Raw genomic sequence first — 24,725 nt, 5'->3', positions numbered from 1 at the left:
GGTGACACTGCTGTCCGTGCTGCTGTGGACGCTGTCAGCCTTGCTCAGCAAGCCAACACACCGGCTGTGCACAGACGGACAGCAAATCGATCCTGTCGAATTTCACTTCCAACACAATCGTTGTCTTTCTTCAGTGACATTTTAAAAATGAATGTCATTATTAAAAGCATCGTTTAAATAAGTGTTTTTATCTTTCTGTTCTTGCTGTGTCTGGACAGCGGCCTCCCAGCCAACATCCAGCTGGACATTGATGGGGACCGTGAGACGGAGCGTATCTACTCCCTCTTCAACTTGTACATGAGCAAGCTGGAGAAGATGCAGGGTGAGTCTGCCCGGCACACAGATCTGTGCAGCGAGGGGATGGCTGGCGAGGCCCCGGCCTCAGGAGCATGCTGTGGGGTGAAAACCTGTGGTCTGAGCCTCTGGTGTAGTGTGGGCTACATGTAGTTGTCTTTGTAGCACGGATGGATGCGAAAAGCTTTTTGCAGGGTAGGCAGCTATCTGGGGGACAATTACCTGTATAATAGGTTCTATAGATAATTTTTAGATGGAATTTAACTTGTAACCTCTGTACTGCCAAGTTTCTTTAGAGGACCTATTTTTTCATTCCTTTGTTTTCCAGAGGGATAAGTGCATGTGTGTGGACACGTATGTGAGTGTGCTTGCATGTGTGCGGACACACGTATGAGATGTGTGCATATGTGTAGGCATGTGTGAGCGTGTGAATGTGGACATGTGTGAGCGTGTGTGAATGTGTGGACATGACATGTATGAGTGTGGATGTGTGAATGTGGACATGTGTGAGCATGTGTGAATGTGTGGACACGTGTGAGTGCATGAATGGACGTGTGTGAGTGTGTGTGAATGTATGGACATGACATGTATGAGAGTGAATGTGTGGGTACATGTGTGAGCATGTGTGTGTGGGGACACGTGAGCATGCATGAATTTGTGCATGTGTGGAAACATGAGGGCACGTGTGAGTATGCATGTATGTCTTTGGGCACATGTGTCAGCATGCATATATGTGGGTACACACATGCCATCTAATTCTGTAAAGCAATTCAATGTCACAGATAACGATACTGCATATATATTTGAAACAGTGCCAGGCACACCGTGTGTTTCAAATCTATATGCAGTATGTATCATTATCTGTGACATTGAATTGCTTTACAGAATTGAAATAGCAATCCAGATAAGCCCAGTTAGACCACATGGGGACAGTGGTTTGAGGTCTGTGATTCAGGAGAGGCAGAGACAAGAAAAGCCCACGGGGGTGAAGCAGCTGCGTTTGTTTCTATGCCAGTGTCTGGTAGAACTCGGATCTGCTCTTGGAGATCATATGACAGGGCCCTTGAGTCCCACTCAGAATGGAAATAGAGCGGAATGTGCCTGGAGTTATGCCTGTTAGATTTTCTTCTTTTCATTCCCCTGATTTAACCCAGAAGTGTCAAGTGTGCCTTGGCCTGGAAACACATGAGTCCTGCCTGAGTGTCCATGCAGCTGCCCATCTGTGAGCTTGGCCACGCCTGTTCTCCAGCCCCACACGCCCTGGGTGTCCGCGCAGCTGCCCATCTGTGAGCTTGGCCACGCCTGTTCTCCAGCCCCGCATGCCCTGGGTGTCCGCACAGCTGCCCATCTGTGAGCTTGGCCACGCCTGATCTCCAGCCCCACATGCCCTGGGTGTCCGTGCAGCTGCCCATCTGTGAGCTTGGCCACGCCTGTTCTCCAGCCCCACATGCCCTGGGTGTCCGCACAGCTGCCCATCTGTGAGCTTGGCCACGCCTGATCTCCAGCCCCACATGCCCTGGGTGTCCGTGCAGCTGCCCATCTGTGAGCTTGGCCACGCCTGTTCTCCAGCCCCACATGCCCTGGGTGTACGTGGGTTCCAGGCCTACACTAACACACAGGCACATACACATGTATGCATAGCCATGTACACACATGTTCCCAGCAATACATGTGTGAAATGAACATACAGGTACATGTGTGTGCAGACAGGCAAGGCAACAATACCTGCACACATGTGCAGTTGAACACAACACGCTCACATGTGCAGGCCCATGTGCAGGCATGCACACACATGTGCAGACAACCACACATGTACACACTCATGGGCCACCACCCACCACAGCGTCTTCTCCCCCAGCAAGTGTGCGAGGTGCTGTCCCTGGGTCTGAGGTCCCTGGATACTGTGAAGATGGCACAAGGCCTCAGGGTGGCCAAGACAGTGGGTCTGGCATCAGCCAGCCTCTTCCCAGCCCTCTCATAGCAGGAACCGACACAGCAGAGGCCAGAGTCAGGGAGCCTCGGAGAGGGTGAGGTCATCACACACAAGACCCAGGTTCTGAAAGATGCTGACCAGGCCCTCCATGATCAGCTTGCTCCCTGCACCACTGTCCAACCTTGCTCAGCTCCTCCTAGGCCGTGCGCCCCGCATCACAGCTCCAGCTCTTCCTCTGCTGGGAACACCCTTGCGCATCAGGCTGGCAGACCCTGTTTACCTTGGAAGTGTCTTCCTCCAGGCGCTTCCCAACCTCACCATCCCCATAGCCTGGTGTATTAGTTCTCATGTTGCTATAAAGAAAAGAAGATTGATTGACTCACAGTTCTGCAGGCTGTACAGGAAGCATGGTTGGGGAGGCCTCAGGAAACTTTCGATCATGGTGGGAGGGCAAAGAGGAAGGAAGGAGGCACCTCCTACATGCAGGAGCAAGAGAGAGAGATGGGGGTAGATGCCACACACGTCCAAACAACCAGACCTCGTGAGAACTCACTATCACGAGAACAGCAATGGGGAAGTCTGTCCCCATGATCCCCTCTCCTTCCTCCAGGCCCCTCCTCCAACACTAGGGATTACAGTCTGACCTGAGATTTGGGTGGGGACACAAATCCAAACCACATCACCTGGGCTCACCTGTGTCACCAAAGTCACAACCATCTCCCATCTCCTCAGCTTCCATATGCAGTGACCTTCCTGGGCCTGGCACAGAGGAAGTGCCTAGCACCTGGATGGGTGTGCTGGACAGATGGCGGGGCAGGCAGCTGAGTGGGTGGGTAGATGGGTGGATGGACGGTTGGGTGAGAGATGGGTGGATGGAAGGATGGGTGAGTGACGGGTGGATGGATGGATGGATGGGTAGATGGGTGGATGGACAGATGGGTGAGTGATGGATGGATGGACAGGGTGAGTGATGAGAGGATGGACTGGGGTGAGTGATGGGTGGATAGATGGATGAGTGATGGGTGGATGGAAGGATGGGTGAGTGATGGTGGATGGACGGATGGGTGAGTGATGGGTGGATGGAAGCATGGGTGAGTGATGGTGGATGGACAGATGGGTGAGTGACGGGTGGATGGACGGATGGGTGAGAGATGGGTGGATGGAAGGATGGGTGAGTGATGGATGGACGGATGGGTGAGTGATGGGTGGATGGACAGATGGTGAGAGATGGGTGGATGGAAGGATGGGTGAGTGATGGGTGGATGAACAGATGGGTGAGTAATGGGTGGATGGACGGATGGGTGAGTGATGGGTGGATGGACAGATGGGTGAGAGATGGGTGGATGGATGGATGGGTAGATGGGTGGATGAACAGATGGGTGAGTGATGGGTGGAGGACAGGGTGAGTGATGAGAGGATGGACCGAGGGTTGAGTGATGGGTGGATGGACAGATGGGTGAGTGATGGTGATGGACAGATGGGTGAGTGATCGGTGGACTGACAGATGGGTGAGTGATGGTGATGGACAGATGGGTGAGTGATGGGTGGACTGACAGATGGGTGAGTGATGGGTGGATGGGCCGATGGGTGAGTGATGGGTGTACGGACAGGGTGAGTGATGGGTGTACGGACAGGGTGAGTGATGGGTGGATGGACAGATGGGCGAGTGATGGGTGGATGGACAGATGGGTGAGTGATGGGCAGATGGACCAATGGGTGACTGATGGGTGGATGGAGCAATGGACGAGTGATGGGTGGATTAACAGATGGTTGAGTGATGGGTGGATGGGCAGATGGGTGAGTGTTAGGTTCATGGACCAAAGGGTGAGTGATGGGTGGATGGATGGATGGGTGGGTCAGTGATGGGTGGATGGATGGATGGGTGAGTAATGGGTGGATGGACAGATGGGTGAGTGATGGATGGATGGACAGGGTGAGTGATGAGAGGATGGACTGGGGTGAGTGATGGGTGGATAGACAGATGGATGAGTGATGGGTGGATGGAAGGATGGGTGAGTGATGGTGGATGGATGGATGGGTGAGTGATAGGTGGATGGACAGATGGGTGAGTGTTAGGTTCATGGACCAAAGGGTGAGTGATGGGTGGATGGATGGATGGGTGGGTGAGTGATGGGTGGATGGATGGATGGGTGAGTAATGGGTGGATGGACGGATGGGTGAGTGATGGGTGGATGGACGGATGGGTGAGTGATGGGTGGATGGACAGATGGATGAGTGTTGAGTTCATGGACAAAGGGGTGAGTGATGGGTGGATTGACAGATGGGTGAGTGATGAATGGGTGGACGGATGGGTGAGTGATGGGTGGATGGACAGATGGGTGAGTAATGGATGGATGGACAGATGGGTGAGTGATGGATGGACAGATGGGTGAGTGATGGATGGACTGAGGGGTGAGTGATGGGTGGATGGACCGAGGAGTGAGTGATGATGGGTGGATCGACAGATGGGTGAGTCATGGGTGGATGGATGGATGGGTGAGTGATGGGTGGAGGGATGGATGGGTGAGTAATGGGTAGATGGACAGATGGGTGGATGGACGGATGGGTGAGTGATGGCTGGGTGGACAGATTCCTTATTGCGATTTTTTTTCTAGTTATTGCCAGTTTTATTTTTTAATCAATATTCCAGCTGAGAATTTTGCATCTGATACATGGTCCATGGACTCATTCTGGGTGAGAGTGGCATTCTGATGGCCCTACCCACTTCAGGGTCCTTCTTCCCTCGTCTTGAAGAATGGCACATGTTCACAGCTGAATAGCTCTATGGCCTGGCTTGTAGGGCTTAAGACACCGCAGCCTGCCTTCATTTCATCCTGTTTTCTCTGTTTCCTGGTTTCTTCTGGCAGTGCCTCTGCTGGTGCGGTTCCTTCTCTGCTCCCGGCTGTTGCTGAGATGGTTGGTCAAGTCCAAGGCTCAGCCCCACACTTGTCTCCTTATCAGATAGCCACACAGCCACCTGCTTAATGGTCTCTTCCAAACATGCTGTCTCATTTTTTTTGAGATATGGGTAGGCTGGAATTTTAATTCTCAAATCTTTTAACTCAACCAGCCTTTGAGTTCTGGTTCCTTTTTGCTCAACAATTCCACCTTCAAATCATCTCTCTTCCCCCATTTTGCTGTCAGCGGTCAGGAGGAACCAAGCCGCTCCCACAGCATTTTGCTTAGAAATCTCCTCAATTGCGTGTCTGATGTCATCACTCGCGAGTTCCACCCTCCCAGAACACGAGGGCATGAACACAGGTCCACTTTGTCACGAGGATGGCTTTTTCTCCACGGTCCAGTAGCATGGCCGTCCTTTCTGTCTGAGATGTTGTTAGAACAGCCTTGCCACCCATGCTCATGCCACCATTCTGTTCAGGGTTACTTAGATATCCCCTAAGACAGGACTTCTCTGCAGCTCTCCTCTCCCGAGCCCCCAGCATTGTCCTTTAAGGACATTCATGGCAGCCATGCCTTTTCCGCTCTGCACCCCCAAACCCCTTCAGCCTTCGCCCAGCACCCAGTTCCAAAGCCAGTCCACATTTGAAGGTACAGCAGCAGCCACTTCTCAGTACCAAGTTCTTGGTGAGTTTGGGCTGCCGTAAAAATTGTACCATAGGCTGGGTGGTTACAGACAGCAGGAATTCGGATGGACAGATGGGTGAGTGATGGATGGATGGACAGGGTGAGTGATGAGAGGATGGACTGGGGTGAGTGATGGGTGGATAGACAGATGGATGAGTGATGGGTGGATGGAAGGATGGGTGAGTGATGGTGGATGGACGGATGGGTGAGTGATGGGTGGATGGACAGATGGGTGAGAGATGGGTGGATGGAAGGATGGGTGAGTGATGGGTGGATGAACAGATGGGTGAGTGATGGGTGGAGGACAGGGTGAGTGATGAGAGGATGGACCGAGGGTTGAGTGATGGGTGGATGGACAGATGGGTGAGTGATGGTGATGGACAGATGGGTGAGTGATCGGTGGACTGGAGCAATGGACGAGTGATGGGTGGATTAACAGATGGTTGAGTGATGGGTGGATGGGCAGATGGGTGAGTGTTAGGTTCATGGACCAAAGGGTGAGTGATGGGTGGATGGATGGATGGGTGGGTCAGTGATGGGTGGATGGATGGATGGGTGAGTAATGGGTGGATGGACGGATGGGTGAGTGATGGGTGGATGGACGGATGGGTGAGTGATGGGTGGATGGACAGATGGATGAGTGTTGAGTTCATGGACAAAGGGGTGAGTGATGGGTGGATTGACAGATGGGTGAGTGATGAATGGGTGGACGGATGGGTGAGTGATGGGTGGATGGACAGATGGGTGAGTAATGGATGGATGGACAGATGGGTGAGTGATGGATGGACAGATGGGTGAGTGATGGATGGACTGAGGGGTGAGTGATGGGTGGATGGACCGAGGAGTGAGTGATGATGGGTGGATCGACAGATGGGTGAGTCATGGGTGGATGGATGGATGGGTGAGTGATGGGTGGAGGGATGGATGGGTGAGTAATGGGTAGATGGACAGATGGGTGGATGGACGGATGGGTGAGTGATGGCTGGGTGGACAGATTCCTTATTGCGATTTTTTTTCTAGTTATTGCCAGTTTTATTTTTTAATCAATATTCCAGCTGAGAATTTTGCATCTGATACATGGTCCATGGACTCATTCTGGGTGAGAGTGGCATTCTGATGGCCCTACCCACTTCAGGGTCCTTCTTCCCTCGTCTTGAAGAATGGCACATGTTCACAGCTGAATAGCTCTATGGCCTGGCTTGTAGGGCTTAAGACACCGCAGCCTGCCTTCATTTCATCCTGTTTTCTCTGTTTCCTGGTTTCTTCTGGCAGTGCCTCTGCTGGTGCGGTTCCTTCTCTGCTCCCGGCTGTTGCTGAGATGGTTGGTCAAGTCCAAGGCTCAGCCCCACACTTGTCTCCTTATCAGATAGCCACACAGCCACCTGCTTAATGGTCTCTTCCAAACATGCTGTCTCATTTTTTTTGAGATATGGGTAGGCTGGAATTTTAATTCTCAAATCTTTTAACTCAACCAGCCTTTGAGTTCTGGTTCCTTTTTGCTCAACAATTCCACCTTCAAATCATCTCTCTTCCCCCATTTTGCTGTCAGCGGTCAGGAGGAACCAAGCCGCTCCCACAGCATTTTGCTTAGAAATCTCCTCAATTGCGTGTCTGATGTCATCACTCGCGAGTTCCACCCTCCCAGAACACGAGGGCATGAACACAGGTCCACTTTGTCACGAGGATGGCTTTTTCTCCACGGTCCAGTAGCATGGCCGTCCTTTCTGTCTGAGATGTTGTTAGAACAGCCTTGCCACCCATGCTCATGCCACCATTCTGTTCAGGGTTACTTAGATATCCCCTAAGACAGGACTTCTCTGCAGCTCTCCTCTCCCGAGCCCCCAGCATTGTCCTTTAAGGACATTCATGGCAGCCATGCCTTTTCCGCTCTGCACCCCCAAACCCCTTCAGCCTTCGCCCAGCACCCAGTTCCAAAGCCAGTCCACATTTGAAGGTACAGCAGCAGCCACTTCTCAGTACCAAGTTCTTGGTGAGTTTGGGCTGCCGTAAAAATTGTACCATAGGCTGGGTGGTTACAGACAGCAGGAATTCAGATGGACCAATGGGTGACTGATGGGTGGATGGAGCAATGGACGAGTGATGGGTGGATTAACAGATGGTTGAGTGATGGGTGGATGGGCAGATGGGTGAGTGTTAGGTTCATGGACCAAAGGGTGAGTGATGGGTGGATGGATGGATGGGTGGGTCAGTGATGGGTGGATGGATGGATGGGTGAGTAATGGGTGGATGGACAGATGGGTGAGTGATGGATGGATGGACAGGGTGAGTGATGGGTGGATAGACAGATGGATGAGTGATGGGTGGATGGAAGGATGGGTGAGTGATGGTGGATGGATGGATGGGTGAGTGATAGGTGGATGGACAGATGGGTGAGTGTTAGGTTCATGGACCAAAGGGTGAGTGATGGGTGGATGGATGGATGGGTGGGTGAGTGATGGGTGGATGGATGGATGGGTGAGTAATGGGTGGATGGACGGATGGGTGAGTGATGGGTGGATGGACGGATGGGTGAGTGATGGGTGGATGGACAGATGGATGAGTGTTGAGTTCATGGACAAAGGGGTGAGTGATGGGTGGATTGACAGATGGGTGAGTGATGAATGGGTGGACGGATGGGTGAGTGATGGGTAGGTGGACGGATGGGTGAGTGATGGGTGGATGGATAGGGTGAGTGATGGGTGGATGGACCGAGGGATGAGTGATGGGTGGATGGACAGATGGGTGAGTAATGGATGGATGGACAGATGGGTGAGTGATGGATGGACAGATGGGTGAGTGATGGATGGACTGAGGGGTGAGTGATGGGTGGATGGACCGAGGAGTGAGTGATGATGGGTGGATCGACAGATGGGTGAGTCATGGGTGGATGGATGGATGGGTGAGTGATGGGTGGAGGGATGGATGGGTGAGTAATGGGTAGATGGACAGATGGGTGGATGGACGGATGGGTGAGTGATGGCTGGGTGGACAGATTCCTTATTGCGATTTTTTTTCTAGTTATTGCCAGTTTTATTTTTTAATCAATATTCCAGCTGAGAATTTTGCATCTGATACATGGTCCATGGACTCATTCTGGGTGAGAGTGGCATTCTGATGGCCCTACCCGCTTCAGGGTCCTTCTTCCCTCGTCTTGAAGAATGGCACATGTTCACAGCTGAATAGCTCTATGGCCTGGCTTGTAGGGCTTAAGACACCGCAGCCTGCCTTCATTTCATCCTGTTTTCTCTGTTTCCTGGTTTCTTCTGGCAGTGCCTCTGCTGGTGCGGTTCCTTCTCTGCTCCCGGCTGTTGCTGAGATGGTTGGTCAAGTCCAAGGCTCAGCCCCACACTTGTCTCCTTATCAGATAGCCACACAGCCACCTGCTTAATGGTCTCTTCCAAACATGCTGTCTCATTTTTTTTGAGATATGGGTAGGCTGGAATTTTAATTCTCAAATCTTTTAACTCAACCAGCCTTTGAGTTCTGGTTCCTTTTTGCTCAACAATTCCACCTTCAAATCATCTCTCTCCCCACATTTTGCTGTCAGCGGTCAGGAGGAACCAAGCCGCTCCCACAGCATTTTGCTTAGAAATCTCCTCAATTACGTGTCTGATGTCATCACTCGCGAGTTCCACCCTCCCAGAACACGAGGGCATGAACACAGGTCCACTTTGTCACGAGGATGGCTTTTTCTCCACGGTCCAGTAGCATGGCCGTCCTTTCTGTCTGAGATGTTGTTAGAACAGCCTTGCCACCCATGCTCATGCCACCATTCTGTTCAGGGTTACTTAGATATCCCCTAAGACAGGACTTCTCTGCAGCTCTCCTCTCCCGAGCCCCCAGCATTGTCCTTTAAGGACATTCATGGCAGCCATGCCTTTTCCGCTCTGCACCCCCAAACCCCTTCAGCCTTCGCCCAGCACCCAGTTCCAAAGCCAGTCCACATTTGAAGGTACAGCAGCAGCCACTTCTCAGTACCAAGTTCTTGGTGAGTTTGGGCTGCCGTAAAAATTGTACCATAGGCTGGGTGGTTACAGACAGCAGGAATTCACTTCCCAGATTGAAGGCCTGAGAAGCTTGAGATCCGGGCGTAGCAGTGCTGGTTTAACTGCGGGTCCTCTTCTGGGCTGCAGCCCGCCAGTGTCTCATTGTGTCCTCACATGTGGAAGAGGCAAGCCAGCTTCCTTGGTGTCTTCTATAGGGACGCCCATCCCCTGCACAAGGGTTCCACCCTCACGCCTTGTCACCTCCCAAAGGCCTCATCTCCTGATGCCATCCCTTGAGAGTTAGGATTTCAACCCACAGATTTGGGGGCACAAACATTCATTCCATCCAGATGGACACAGCTGCAGGGCATCGGTGCTGGCTCCGGGAGTGCGTGCCCAGGCGCTGTGAGCAGTGAGGCAGAGACGTGTACCTGGTTCAGGTGTTTGGACTCAGGTGGCACAGGGCCCTGCCCTGGCTCAAGGGTTCCATGGCTGTCCGCTAGGGGCGAGGCACCAGAATGGCCTTCAGCAGGAGTGATGTGGTCCGATTAGGAAGGTGGCCCCGGTGCGTAGGTGGGGTCCGGGGCAGTGGTCTTTAGAAGCTGCGGCACAGACTGGTGTCCGCCCTGTGCTCGGCCAGCCCTGGGCTAGGCCTGTCCTGGCTGGACATGCTCAGTGGCAGCTGGGTGTGAAATGTGCTGAACCCCATCGTGCTCACTCCCTCAGCTGACTCTTCAGGGCTGCCCCAGGGCCCATGAGCCAGCCCAGCGTCCAGCTGCAGGTGTCTCTCCTCCTGGTTCTGGCTGGGCGGGCTGGTGGGGCGTGCAGAGATGTGCACATCCCCCTGTGAGAATGGCTGATTGGTGACAAGGCTGGGAGCTAGGGGCAGCAGAGCCCTCAGAGGTGAATGAGGTTGCTCAGCATCCAGCTCCCAATGGGCTTTCCCTGGGCTCAGTGTGGGCACAACTCGCCTACCTGCGGGAATGGTTTCTATCTCCGTCTGCGTTTACGAGTGGTGGTCAGCCCTTTCTGGAGGAGCTTGCGTTGGAAGGATGTGTACTGTGGGTGGGGCCTGCAGCGACGCAGCTGTGTGGAGACGGGGCCGGTGGCCTGGGCTCCTGCCCTGCGCTGACCCCTCCGCCCTCCACAGAGGCCTGTGGGAGCAAATCTGTGTATGACGGCCCGGAGCAGGAGGAGTATTCGACGTTCGTCATTGACGACCCCCAGGAGACCTACAAGACGCTAAAGCAAGTCATCGCTGGGGTTGGGGCTTTGGAGCAGGAGCACGCCCAGTATAAGAGGGACAAGTTCAAGAAGACGAAATATGGAAGCCAGTGAGTGCCACTCCCGTGCCTGCCCTGGACGGCCAGTGTAGTGGGCGGGAGATTGCAGTGGGGGTGGGGCTGCAGGGAGCTCCCGGGTGGGGCCGCCCGTGCTCAGGTGTCCGCCTGGGAGGAGAGTCCCACTTGCACCGGGCTGGCACCTGGCGGTAGTCAGTGGACGTGGCCCGGCGCTGCTGGTCCCTCCTTCAGAGCAGGTGCTGCCTTTGCTCTCCAGGCCCCCAGCCAGCGTCCGGGCTGCCTCCCTGACCTGCTTCCTCCCAGCCTCTCTGCTATACTGGTGTCACGTGCTCTGGCAGTCTCTAGGCCCAGGTCTTGTTCTGCCTTGGTTCAGTGGCACACCCTCTGGCATCTCTCCAGGCCACCCATGGTGCCCGGGAGCAGGGCCAGCTCTGGACGAAACCCACTCTTGTCTCATGAGGCAGGTGTGGCGAGGTTGAGTACGTTCAGCTTAGTCACCAGCTGCAGGCTAGGTGGCGCTTAGCTAAGCTCCACTCCCCCTCACTCCATGGAACAGAGGGTTGTAAGACCCTCATGAGTTGCTGGAAGATTGACTTAAACTATGTAAAGTGCTAGGCTGGCTCTTAGCCTGGAGTGAGCAGATGTGTCTGTGTCACTCTCTCCATCCAGTGGGTACCCAGGTCCACCATGGCAGAAGCCCCCACACGGGCTCATTCAGGGGCGGGTAAGCCCTAGAGCCCTGTGTAGCTGTACAGCCTCCTCCTCACTTCCATCCTCCTGCTCACTCCTCTCTTTGGTCCTCCCTCCCTTCGATCCTCCCTCTCTCCTCCTCCACCCTTCTTCTCCCTCCTTCCCTTCCTTCCTTCTTAACCCCTCCTTCCTTCCACCATGCGGGTCTGGTCTGGGAAGGGCAGTGGTGAGGCTCCAGGAGAGTGACAGGTCCCTGTGGCCCGGACTTGGACCGAGTTGCTCAGGGGACTGAGCCTGCAACACCTCCTGAGTGCTGTGACTTCACCTCTGACATCATCATATCAGATCCCTCTCGACACCCTTCTGGGGAGACAGCCCCATTTGCCTTCCAAATATGTTGCCTCGTTGATATCAGCAGGTCCATCAACCTCATGGCCAAAAGCCAGCAGGTTGAAAATGCGCGAAGCATGATGCTGTTTGTTGTAGTAGAAGGCGCACACGAGGCACACATGGTACAAGATGCACACACATGGCAGGAGGTGCACACACATGGGTGGAGGTGCACACACATGGCAGGAGGTGCACACACGGAGGAGGTGAACACGTGGGAGGAGGTGGTGCACACGTGGGAGGAGGCACACACACGGAGGAGGCGCACACACATGGCAGGAGGTGCACACATGTGGGAGAAGGCACAGACGGAGGAGGTGCACATACATGGCAGAAGGTGCACACGTGGGAGGAGGTGCGCACATGTGGGAGAAGGCACACATGGAGGAGGCGCACACAGCAGGAGGTGCACACACATGGGAGGAGGTGGTGCACACACGTGGGAGGAGGTGCACACACGTGGGAGGAGGTGTGCACACACGTGGCAGGAGGTACACACAGAGGAGGTGCACACATGCGAGAGGGGTGCACACACGTGGGAGGTGGTGCACACACATGGGAGGAGGTGCACACAGGAGGCACACAGAGGTGCACACACAGGTGCACACGTGGGAGGTGTACACACGGAGGGGTGCACACACATGGGAGGAGGTACACGTGGAAGGAGGTGCACACACGTGGGAGGAGATGCACACATGGAGGTGGTAGGCACGTAGGAGGAGGTGCACACACATGGAGGTAGTGGACACACATGGCAGGAGGTGCACACACATGGTATGAGGGAGGTGTGCATGTGGGGAGGAGGTGCCCACGCCTGCTGAGTGTCCCAGCACTGGGACAGATCTGTGTCCCTGGAGCTCATGCTCCCCACACATGAGCACACTCTTTGCAGTGCAGATGTGCACATTCTGCACACGTGCCATACACTCTACATATTCCACATCTGCACATGTATATGCGCTACACACGTGCCACAGGGAGAGCACACGTGCACATGTACTTGCACGCCTGACCCACCTGTGCACACACATCAGAGTCACCGTGGGTGCTTCCGGGGGCACTGTGGTTCCTTTGGCTCCTCTATTTTTTGTGTGGATTGCAGTGTGAGTGTGTCACATTTAGGAACAGGAAAAGCTCCCGCAGCCACGGGTGAGCACCAGGCAACGGGGTCTGTGCCTCATTCCCTCTCCCATCCCCCTTTTCAGGGAGCACCCCATCGGAGACAAGAGCTTCCAGAACTACATCCGGCAGCAGTCCGAGACCTCCACTCATTCCATTTAAAGTCTGCGGGACGCGCCCAGTGGCGCCAGCAAGCTGCCCATGCAAAGCCGCAGCCTTTGGGAGGGAGAAGAGAAGGAAGAGCGCAGAGCCGGCAAAGTGAGATGCACGCCGTCCCGGCCCATAGACAAGTGGCGCTGGGGTTTCCCTCTCCCAGAACCGCTGCCACCACCGCCACGCCCTCCGCAGAAAGCCCACCTGGCCCTGTGGAACGTGTCGTCATTTGATTCTGTGCTTTTTGCTCCTTGTTTGTGGGGATCTGGGGATCAGCTGAAGGATCAGGAAGTGTGGGCTGTGCCCTAGCCACACCACAGCCAGCCTCAGGGAGCCACGGCCCGTCTAGTCGACTGTGACATGCACCTCCGGCCGTGTGTGCGTCAGTCTCGTGCACGTCTGTCTTGCGTGCACGGTGCGTGTGACGCTGGGCTCTGTGGCTCTGTGCCCGGGAGGCCTGCTGGCCCCGCCTCGGCTTTCGGCTTCATCACATTGGGAGGTTCAGAGCATTACTCTCCCACTGTGCCTGCCATCCAGGCAGCCATGGGAGGCGGCCTCCCTGTTCCACTTTCGAGGTTCGTTTGATTCCTGGCTGAGGGGTCAGTTTTATGGCTGGGAGGTGCAGAATTACACAGAAGTCCCAGTCTGAGGATGTCCTTGGTGCTTGGGGGATACGGGTTCTGTCCACAGAGTCCCTTGGAGGGAAAGGTGTGGGCTCCAGCTTCTCCAGGCGTCTGCGGAGCCCACAGTTGAAGCCCACATCGTTTTGCTGTTGAATGGGGTTTAAAATCAGAATTAACATTTGCCACCCCCCGTGGAAGTTTGAAGATTTTAAAAATAGAAATGTACATTTTTCAAGCTGTTTTTCTTTATGTTTTTGAAGGACCATTTTTAATTAGCTCTTTGATACAAAGTAACTCAGAACGTCAAAACCTATACCCACTAAAGGGAAGGCTGCCGGGAAGGCAAATGGAACAGGAATGGAGCCTGTCTCAGGAAGGCCAGCTGCAGGTCCTCCAGAAAATCAAAGAAGGGAAGAAACTCTGAGTTTGAGGTACAGGGGCTTCGGGGTGCAGACGTCCCTCCAGGGCCCATGGTCAGTATTGCACCTGTGTTATGAACCCCCAGATGCTGTGCAGGGCAGGGGCGGGGGCTGCTGTTTTATTGGGGAGGGGAGCATCCTAAAAATGGGGTCCAGGCAGACCCCTCCAGACCTCACACTGCCGAGGAGGCCTTTCCCAAAGGGCGTCCTCCCGGGATGCAGACGGCAGGTGTGTGGGAAGCGCCGTTTAAATACACAGCACGACGTATCCTTGTACCGACTTCTCCCGGTTCTTGTTTGAAAATACTGTAGTTCAGGCTCTTGATCTAGATGGCAGATAGGAACTTTCTTGTCACAAAAATACTGGAGGAAAATGTTGTAAAAATAGACTTTTGGACACACAGCTGTTGGGGCTGCACTGAGCTGCAATTTTTAACATGGATTTATAACTTAATGTTTCTGTTTATAAAATACTAATGATTTGCAATGTATTTTACTGGCCAATTAAAACAGATGTTTTATTCTTTCTGAGGACTGCCTTGGTTTTCCAGTGGTACCCACTGGGAATTGCACATGTGGGCATTAGGGGTGGGGGGTACAGGGAGGAGGGTGGCACCTGGGGAGCAGGATGACATTGCTGATGCCAAGTGACGTCCCTGGTGATGGGTGATGCTGCTCTGACAGGTGGCACTGCCCTGATGACAGGTCACATTGCTGATGCCAAGTGACATCTCTGGTGACAGGCAGCGCTGCTCTGACAGGTGACAGGTGACATCGCTGGTGACAGTTGACGCCTCATGACGGGCAGCGCTGCTCTGACAGGTGGCACCGCCCTGATGACAGGTGACATCACTGGTGACAGTTGACATCTTTGGTGATGGGCAGCGCTGCTCTGACAGTGGCATTCACCTGTGGTGCCTCAGGTGAGAGTCCGGCCCTGTGATAACCTCAGGAAAGGTGTGTCCACTCAAGGAGTGCTGGGCAGACAGACCACCACGTGCTGCCATCTCCAGGAATGCAGAGGGGGAGGCCACTTGGAGGCCCTGGGAGAAGAGAACGGACTGCGCCTCTAGGCAGGTGGCTGCTGTCCCTCCAGGCAGGAGAGGGTTAAGGGGGGCTCTGGGTGAAGACTCCATGATACGTTGCCTCATTTCTTTATTCCTTTCCTTGCTCCATTTGAATTCCTCTTTTTTGGTAATTCTATTGTGAGTCAGCTCTGGTATGAGAAAAATGAGGAGGTGTGGCTTTGGGGACACCAACCCAGGCCTTTCTCCCAGGGAAGGGTGAGGCTTGGTTCAGCCTGGCCGGCCTCCTTAGTCCATGCTGAGGTGTGGGGTCTGCCCCAGTCCAGGAGTGGCTATGGGTGGTGGACAAACCCTTGCAGGTGGGGGCATCCTCCCCGGGAGGCCAGCCCGTCCTCCTGGAGCCACACTTCCCGGCAGGGCCTCAGGCAGTGTCGGGAGCCAGGGGGCTCCGTTCACACTCTGGGCACAGCTGTGCTGGGGTCAGCCCAGGAGGGCCAAGGTCAGCCCCTCCAAGAGGAAGTAGAAGGGCAAGGAGGACGAGGCCCCAGGGAACGTGGAGAATGGAAGCCCCTTCTGGAACAGCCAGGAGAGTCCTACAGGGCAGTGGGAGGTGGGAGTGTATGGGGGCCGGAAGCCCCTGCGCGTCTCCACTGATATGGTTTGGCTGTGTCCCCACCCAAACCTCATCTTCAGTTGCAGCTCCCATAATTCCCATGTGTGGTGGGTGGGACCCAGTGGGAGGTGATTGAATCTGTGTGGTGGGAGGTGATTGAATCTATGTGGTGGGAGGTGATTGAATCTGTGTTGTGGGCGGGACCCGGTGGGAGGTGATTGAATCTGTGTGGTGGGCGGGACCCGGTGGGAGGTGATTGAATCTGTGTGGTGGGAGGTGATTGAATCTGTGTGGTGGGAGGTGATTGAATCTGTGTGGTGGGAGGTGATTGAATCTGTGTTGTGGGCGGGACCCGGTGGGAGGTGATTGAATCTGTGTGGTGGGCGGGACCCGGTGGGAGGTGATTGAATCTGTGTGGTGGGCGGGACCCGGTGGGAGGTGATTGAATCTGTGTGGTGGGCGGGACCCAGTGGGAGGTGATTGAATCTGTGTGGTGGGCGGGACCCGGTGGGAGGTGATTGAATCTGTGTGGTGGGTGGGACTTGGTGGGAGGTGATTGAATCATGGGGCGGTTCCCCCATACTGTTCTCGTGGTATAAGTCCCACGAGATCCGATGTGAAAGTTTTATGAGGGTTTCTCCTTTTGCTTGGTCTCATTCTCTCCTGCTGCTGCCATGTAAGACGTGCCTTTCACCTTCCACCATGATCGCAGGGCCTCCCCAGCCATGTGGAACTGAATCCATTCAACCTCTTCTTTATAAATTACCCAGTCTCAGGTATGTCTTTATCAGCAGCATGGAAACTGTCTAATACACCCACCAAGAGACTGCAGGTGGCTTTGTGGAGACCCCAGTGACGCCCATTTGCCCTTGTTGCTCCAGACGACCCAGCACTTGTTGGAGAGAGACAGCGGCCTCCTCTCCCATCCTGGCAGCATCCGCGGGGCTCCCGACATCAGAGTGTCCAAAGCAGGTGCCTCTGAGGAACCGTCCCAGGAGGCCAGGCAGTGCCAGAGCGTGTGTGAGGCCAAGGCCCCCACCCTGCACCCACCACTTGCCCAGAGAGCTGAGGCCTCCTGGGTGCTGAGAGGCTGTGGGCTCTTCAAAAGAAGAGATCAGAAGGAGGGGAGCCTGCAGCCTGGGGGTCACACCTGCTTCCCCCTGGCTGAGGAGCCCCGGGTGCGGGAAGCGGGTCCTGGGGGCGGGGGGGTGCGCCGGCTCGCGAGGTGCCTGTCAAGGGGCAGAAGGGGCTGCCCAAATAAGCCACACTGTTGTAAGGGTTGTTTTGAGCTGAAACAGCCATCCACAAGGATAAGAACGCTGCTTTCTTCTGGCTCTGGAGAGCGTCTTCCCCGTGGGGTGTTACCTCCTCTTTCAGGAAGGAAAGGCCATTCCCGGCCACACAGACCGTGCTGGAGTGCGTGTGCCTTTCTCCAGCTCATCTGCTGATTTTAATTATCAGGCCCGACCAAAAAACCCCAAGAGGTAAAATGTTGCCTCCCCACCCACCGTGGTCTGGAGGCTGGAGGAGACAGCGTGCCGGGGATTTTCTGTTCGGCTCAGTACAGGCTGAACTCTGTCCCGGCAAATCCTCATGCTGGAGCTGTGACCCTGTGACCCTCAGGACCTCAGGGTGTGGCTGCACTTGGGCGTGGAGCTGTAGAGATTGTCAAGGTAAAGCGAGGCCCTGACCCAGTGTGACCAGCGTCCTCATGAGAAGGGGAGACGAGGACGCAGCACACAGGACCACCACGTGAGGACACGGAATACGTCATCTTCGCGCCAAGGAGAGAGGCCTCGGGTAACCAGCGCTGCGAGACACCTTGCCCCCAGCACCGGAGGGAATGAGCTCCCGCTGTTTAAGCCGCCTGCCTGGGAGTGCCAGCAAACCCACGCTGACCTGTGCAGTTCACACCGTCGGCCCGGAAAGCCCTCGCCGGAGCCCCGGCCACATCAGGGTTTCGTCCTGGCGCCGTGTGGGTGGGGAGAGGCGCTGGGCCGGCAGCATTTGCACCCCACCACTGCCTGCAGGGGCTGCCTTTGTCTTCCTGAGTTGATCTGTGTCCCATTTGCCCTGATAGGGAGAGAAAGATTCAAATACCCTGTCACAGAGGGAGACCGGCGTCTCATCTGCAGGCCCTGCTAGGGCTGGTGCCAGTTCCCCGCCCTCCCTGGTGGAGAGACCAGAGATGTGAAAACGCAGAACCCGCCCCAGCCCCGGCCTGCGGGAAAGAAGAAGGGAAGACGCAGAACCCGCCCCAGCCCCGGCCTGCGGGAAAGAAGAAGGGAAGACGCAGAACCCGCCCCAACCCCGGCCTGCGGGAAAGAAGAAGGGAAGACGCAGAACCCGCCCCAGCCCCGGCCTGCGGGAAAGAAGAAGGGAAGACGCAGAACCCGCCCCAACCCCGGCCTGCGGGAAAGAAGAAGGGAAGACGCAGAACCCGCCCCAGCCCCGGCCTGCGGGAAAGAAGAAGGGAAGACGCAGAACCCGCCCCAGCCCCGGCCTGCAGGAAAGCCACGCTGTGCTGCCAGGGATCGGCTGATCTTTGGCCTCTGACCTTACAGTGATGTCACAGCAGACCCATGGCAACGCACTCCCAGCACCTCCTGACTACTCCCTGCGGGACGGCTGGGTGTGAGGGTGGCAGCCTTGTGCTCAAGCCGAGGCTGGGCTGGAGGATGGAGAAGGACACGGGGACCACACACAGGAGGCACCGGCCCGGCCTCAGGGCCCTGCCCTCAGGAGTGGCCCTTGGGCACCTCAAGGCGGCCAGTGAGGCCTCTGAACTTCAGCGAAGCAGGAGTCTGGGAGGCCTGCAGCCCGAGGGGGACCCTCCCAGCCGCCCTAGGAAGCCTCACAAGGAGCTGGGTAGGGGCTGTGGGGCCGCGGGGAGCGGGTGGACGGCGCGGCTGTCCCACCAGGCACTGAACCCAAAGTACCTGCGTCAGAGCCCAGCCCAGTTAGAAAGTTCTAGGAAGTTCCCAAGGTTAGGGATGCGCCGAGACAGCCCCAGGAGGTCCAACGACGTGTGTCCAAGGCGGGGCACGGCCTGACGTCATACATTGCAGGGGGGCGTGGGGCATCAATCAGCACCTGTGAGGGGGTACGTCGGTTCTGTCCGGAAAGGGACAGCCTGAAGCAGGAGGGGCTTCCAGGTCGTAGGTAGAGGAGACACAGGGCTGCATTCTTTGGGTCTCGATCAGCCTTTCACTGAACACACAATTTACACGTGAGGGGACTAGAGGGAGAGTCACTTGTATCCTCGTCCGGCTCCGTGACTGCGGTTTTTCATGAGCAGCCCAGAGGGAGCTGTCGGACACACTTGTCTCAGGTGAGCAGAGGGAGGACCGTGATCTCTGTCCCTGTCCTGCGCCTGTTGACGGTCAGCTGTCCACGTGCATTCCCAGCGTGAAACTCCACAAAACTGCTTAGGGCAGAGATCTTAAGGCTCACAAGGAATTTCCTCGTGGGTGAATGATGAGGGAGGCCTGTGGCCGTTTATCTCTGCAGCTCTTGTTTAGGAAGAGGATGGGAGGCAGGTTTGTCTGACACATTCCCAGCCTTACTCCTCCCCTTAGCTCAGTGATTCAGGGCCCAAGATTCATTTTCCTTCCACCGGCAGCAGGGACCGGGCCGGGCCTCCTGCCTCCCGCTGCCCTGTGCTCGGAACGCTAAGGGTGGAAGTGGGGAGCACTCCAGGTCCACACCCGTAACCCACCCAGGGCTGCTGGGAAGGCCTTGCGCTGCTGGGGCGGAGCTGTGGGGGCTCCAGCCGGGCACAGCCAAGGGCGGGAGGGGTGAGAGGAGGGCAGGCCTGGGACCCTCATGGGCCTCCGAAGCCAGCCGATGCCTGAAGGGAGGATCATAGCCAGGCGCCCCGTTTGCAAGAAGGCCCTGGTGAGGGCCTGGGTCCCTGCCAGGAGCTCTGGGCCTCACCCACCAGCAAGGAACCTGCGTAGCTGGTGTTTGACACGGTTGGCTTCTAAACCGCGAAACGTGTAGGCTGCCCCTGTGTCGGTCCACACTCGCCACTCTGAGATGTTTCCAGGTGTGCCGAACGGACGGTGGTGTGGGCCTGGGGATGGTGCTGCAGTCACCTCCTCACACCTTGAATACTGGCCCAGAGCACAGGGCTGAGGGGCTGACACGGAGCTGCGAGCTGGCGCTCCCCTCCCCTCCCGCGGCCTCGGCAGCTCCGCCTCCCCTTCGCAAAGGTGTCCACGGGGCCGTGGAAGTGAGACAGCCCGGTAGGACTCGGGGTTTGCTTGCTCAAGCCCTGGGGACAATTTTAAGAGGTAATGATGTAAAAATATGTGTTCTTCTCTGAGTTTAAAAATCCAAATATGTGCTATTTGGGGGGCGTGAGTAGTTAGGAGGCTGCACCCTACCTCCCTCCCCACGGGGTTCCCTCAAGACGTGCAAAGTTCTCAAAAGAATAAGTTACGCCAAGGCTGCTTAGCGGGAATTTAAGTTGGGGCGGGGAGTGGATCTCCAATAATGCCGCCCGATGCCACCACAGTGCGGACTTAGAGGCCGGGGTCGGATGGAGGGAGGGATTGAGCCCCATTGTGGCTGACATTTCCCTCAACACCTGCTGGATTTGCCCAAAACTGCACGATGGGAGGTGCCGCAGCAGGGAGGCCGGGCTTCTGTGTGGCCGCTTGTCCTGTCTGGCAAAGATGTCCACCCTGCACAGCCTCCCCCAGGCACCAGCACCCTCAGGGTTCGAGACCACGGCCCAGGAGCGCATCCTCCCTGGAGCTTTGTGGCTGCCCCCAGACAACTGAGATTCTGCCGGAGAAGAGCAGGAGGCATTTCCAGCCCTGTGACCCGAGGAGAAGGGCCGGGCCTTGCTGACCACTGGTAGAGTCCGACGTGGCCTTGGTTTCTGCAGGGACTCAGCTCCTCACCCCTCGCAGACTTGGTGGGCTCCATGACATGCCCAGTGCCACGTGCACCCACAGGTGCCCGGATGTGTGAGACGCCGCGTCCACTTCACAGGGAGGCCTCCGGGATGCGGGAGACGTGGGGTGGCCGACTTCACGGGGGCACCAGTGGGGTGTGTCTGGGCCTGGGCCATGCGGAGCACAGGAGACCAGCGCTCACGGAGGGCAGCCCAGAGAGGCCGGCAAGAGCACAGTGAGAATCCGCTGGGTTCCAGACCCACTGAGGCCCTGCCTTGAGCCCACATGCACCCTGGACGCCTGTTGATTCTGCAAAGGCTCTGCGCTCCACCTCTGGGCCCCACTCGTGGCTTCTCTGTTGGGGGCAGCCCCTCGTGGTCGGCCATTGGTCTCATTTCCCTGGAAGAGCCCCATTCCCCAGCTGCCCCTTGGGCCTGTGGGCTGAGCTGAGTGACCTGCCTGGAGTGGCCCATGTGACTCTGCCGAGCTCTGGGAGGAGGTCTGGTCTCTTCCATCACAAGCATCATTTAAAGCTTTGGAATCATCCCTGTTGTATTTGAATCCCGGGCCAAGGGGGTGTTGTGGGAAGAGGGAGTAGCTGCGGGAAGCCAGGGTCTCCGCAAACATTCCCGGCTCCGATGCGGCTGGAGGCCCTGTGGGATCTGGAATCCGCTCACTCCAAGGCTCTCCTGAGCACCTAGGGCTTGGAGAATCCTCTGCCACATGACTTCCTCACAAGGCTGTGCTGGTTTGCAAGCTCCTGGGAACGGAGAACTCAGTGTTTAACTAGAATGGAATGTTTCACGTTGGCCAAGTCAGTCAACACCTTTAGCCAAGTGTGCCAGGGAGCAGTGTGTGCTCGGTGCAAGCCGGTGGCCAACAGCCAGGCTTGGGTTCCTGCCGGGAGCACCAGAGCACCGCTCACCCGAGTTGATGTTCCTGGGCCCCTGTCCTCTGTCACATCAAGGTAAAGATCCTCACGAGACATAAAGTGGTCCCGAAAAAAGACTGCTAGAAACATCCCGCAATGCCTCTCGGGGAGCCCAGAGACCCTGGGGATTGGTGGATTTTCCTGGACAAGCCAAGTGGGGTTTCAAGTCCCACCTGTCCGTGAGAGGAAGCCTGGGTTGGGGGTAGTAGCCGGCATGGGCAGGTCTTGTGGGCTTCTCCCACCCTCCCGCTCAGCTACCTCCAGCCAGCTGTGCTAGGACAAAGAGGAGTTTCAAGAGGTCCCGGAGCCTCATGTGTTTACTGTAAGGCGGCTGGCCATGCCTCACCCTGAGTCCTGCAGGGAGAAGGTGGAGCCCAGGTGTGGGCTGAGCTGCTGGGGCTGAGCCAGGCTCAAGGCCCTGGCACCAGGCTGTGGAAAGTGCCGATAGCAAATACCGGAGGGCCGGGCATGGGCACAGGTCGGGGAGAAACTCAAGTTAGCTGTAGCCATGGCTGAGAGTTGAGCTCTGCTGTGGGTGGCTGTGGGCGGCTTGGGGCAGGTCCTGAGCTCCGGTAGCTGCGGTGTAATGGTGCTGACGGCTCTGTCCTTCCTCCCCAGAGTCCGAAGATCAAGGGAAAGACCCAAGCAGTAACGCGGAAGATGCCAGCTGGTAAGCAGCCTGTCCGACGCTGGCCTTTGTGAAGGTGGAGCTGGGAAAAGTGAGGTGGACACAGGAGAGGGTGGGGTGTGGGAGTGGTACCCGGGCATCAAGGTAGACACTTAGAAGGGGACAGAGGGAGCCCTGGGTCCTGCGAAGACCCCGCGCAGGGCCTGGATGGGAGGGCTGGGAAATCCTCCTTATTTTGAGAGGAATTCAGCGTGGGAACAGGACCCACCTGTAGCGGGGTGGTGTCCTCAGGACTCGGGCCCTGGCCTGAGGGTCACACAGCTGCATCCCTCTCAGTAGACACCCCATGGCCCTCTGGGGAAGGAGGCGTCGTCTCACTAGTGGACTGCTGGGCCCACCTTAGATGTAAACAACTCGAGTGCTCCTTTAGGGAGAGGGCGTGGGGCCCTGGACAGCACATCCCCACTTCGTACTGCCGAGTTCTTGCCTCCCTGCACCTCGCGTCCCGTTCTAACCCAGCTCTGGTTCTCCCACCCACTCACCCTCCTGCCATCAAAGAAGACTTAAAAGTCATTGAATTCCTCAAAAATTTGTCTCAGATCTAACAAAGTCGATTTACCAGCACCATGGCAAGGCACGGGCCAAGTCCCCCTTATTTACAAATGGCTCCCGTTGAGTGGAGACCAAGGAAGGTGTCCGGCCGCCGAAGCGGCCAAAGGTGCAATCAGTTGGTGAGAGTGAGTGTTCGTGTGTTAGACAGGATGTGTGCGGCGCCTGGAGCCTCCCACTCCGTAGAGCTCAGGGAAGCTGATGGCCTTGGTGAGGGCAGTTGAGCTGGGAAGACCACACACCTTTAGGGTGGCAAAGCTGAAAGCGTCTGCTCACGTTGGCCAAGTCAGTCAATACCCTCGGCCAAGTCAACGCCATTGCAGATGGTGGCGGAGCCCCTGTCATCCTCACTGCCTGTTGCATTCCTCTTGCCCCTGGCCACACACCATAGCAGACCACAGAAGGGGTCACGAGGTTGGTGCGAGTAACAGCAGGGCCAACCGTGGACCCTCCAGCCTACTGGCCAGCATGGCCCATTTGGTATCCACATGGAGTGTGGATCTGCGACAGGGTGGCTGCATCTTCTCATCAGATTTTGGTTCTTTGAGCAAGGTTAGACCCTGCTTTCCAAAATAAGCCCAGGTTGGCTGTAATCCCAGTCCAGACCCTGGCTGTACAGGGTAAGTTTTCCAGGCAAGATGGGCCAGCAGAGGGAGCCAGGAGGGCCAGGCTGTGGGGCCCTTCAGAGCCAGAACTCTGTGCTGGGTCAGGGCACCTCATAGGTGCCCACCAGACCCCAGGGGCACCAGCCTCAAGCCCAAGGAGACAGACCCAGAGGAGACCAGGAGCTGCCCGCAGCTATCTGCCGTCTCTTCCAAACCACTTTCCCTGCTCCTCCCGCAGTCAGAAAAACCTAGCACAAGACAAGAAGGAAAGCTTCAGCACCCTTGGGAAGCTGGGTCATGAGAGTGGAAAACAAGACCCAGAGAGGGAGAAGAGCGACTTGGAGGCCAGCATGCAGGAGGTGCAGGAAGGCGAGCACGCAGACGGAGGCTTGCAGGAGGCCAAGGTTGGGCCACGCTGAGGAGCGGTGCATTTTTTCCTCTTGCCTTGGAGCCCGGCCTTCACTTAACCTCTTTGGTCTTACAGGAACAGGAGGCAGAGTCCATAAAGCTAAATGACCTTCAGGAAGAAGAGGTAAGAGCTTTTCCCTTTAGTAATAGAAGTGAGAAGGGAGGCCTGTCCAGGCGGGAGTTCTGCCGGAGCCTGGACCTGCCCGGGACGGTGGCCTGGGGGTCAGCTCAGCAGGCGCCAGGCTGTGAAGCTGGACTGACTGGGCCCCTGCTACCCTAGAGAGGCTTGGGGCCAAGCTCTGAGACTCTTTACCCGATCCCAGGGCAGCCTGACCCCTGCTTGCCAAACGTGCAGTCACTAAAGGTGTATGAGGCCCTGAGAGGAGGTGCCCTCAGCTTGACCTTGGCCCAGAAAACACCCAGAGCCCCAGGCTTGATGTGTTGTCCAGGGACACGTCATGCTGTGGGGGTTCTCACGTGGCACCGTGTGAAGGAAAGTGGCTTTTGTT

At 56.3% G+C, this 24,725-nt stretch overlaps 2 protein-coding genes across 18 annotated transcripts in view, besides 1 other annotated feature; both read left to right on the top strand.

Annotated features, from left to right (window-relative positions):
* RASA3 (RAS p21 protein activator 3) overlaps positions 1-15,024 on the top strand; it is a 154,841-nt gene extending 139,817 nt beyond the window's left edge. For all 14 annotated transcript variants that reach the window (XM_047430157.1, NM_007368.4, NM_001320821.2 and 11 more), the window contains 3 exons: positions 219-322; positions 10,949-11,132; positions 13,385-15,024. In XM_047430157.1, coding sequence (XP_047286113.1) covers positions 219-322; positions 10,949-11,132; positions 13,385-13,460 — 364 coding nt within the window. In that variant the 3' untranslated portion in view covers positions 13,461-15,024. The remainder of the gene's footprint in view (positions 1-218; positions 323-10,948; positions 11,133-13,384) is intronic.
* Positions 13,419-13,919: an enhancer, noted in NCBI's record as "H3K4me1 hESC enhancer chr13:114748299-114748799 (GRCh37/hg19 assembly coordinates)". NCBI's record gives its function as "activates a minimal SCP1, AML or CMV promoter by ChIP-STARR-seq in primed H9 embryonic stem cells {active_cell/tissue: H9 hESC(primed)}" and the evidence as "EXISTENCE:reporter gene assay evidence [ECO:0000049][PMID:30033119]".
* A 3,706-nt stretch (positions 15,025-18,730) lies between the features above and the next one.
* C13orf46 (chromosome 13 open reading frame 46) overlaps positions 18,731-24,725 on the top strand; it is a 47,563-nt gene continuing 41,568 nt past the window's right edge. For all 4 annotated transcript variants that reach the window (XM_047429985.1, NM_001365455.2, XM_006719995.4 and 1 more), the window contains exons 1-4: positions 18,731-18,999; positions 22,585-22,636; positions 24,047-24,212; positions 24,293-24,340. In XM_047429985.1, coding sequence (XP_047285941.1) covers positions 18,810-18,999; positions 22,585-22,636; positions 24,047-24,212; positions 24,293-24,340 — 456 coding nt within the window. In that variant the 5' untranslated portion in view covers positions 18,731-18,809. The remainder of the gene's footprint in view (positions 19,000-22,584; positions 22,637-24,046; positions 24,213-24,292; positions 24,341-24,725) is intronic.

This window comes from Homo sapiens, chromosome 13 (genome assembly GCF_000001405.40).
Source record: "Homo sapiens chromosome 13, GRCh38.p14 Primary Assembly".
Lineage (NCBI taxonomy): Eukaryota > Metazoa > Chordata > Mammalia > Primates > Hominidae > Homo > Homo sapiens.
This window is presented reverse-complemented; position numbering and strand designations above follow the sequence as displayed.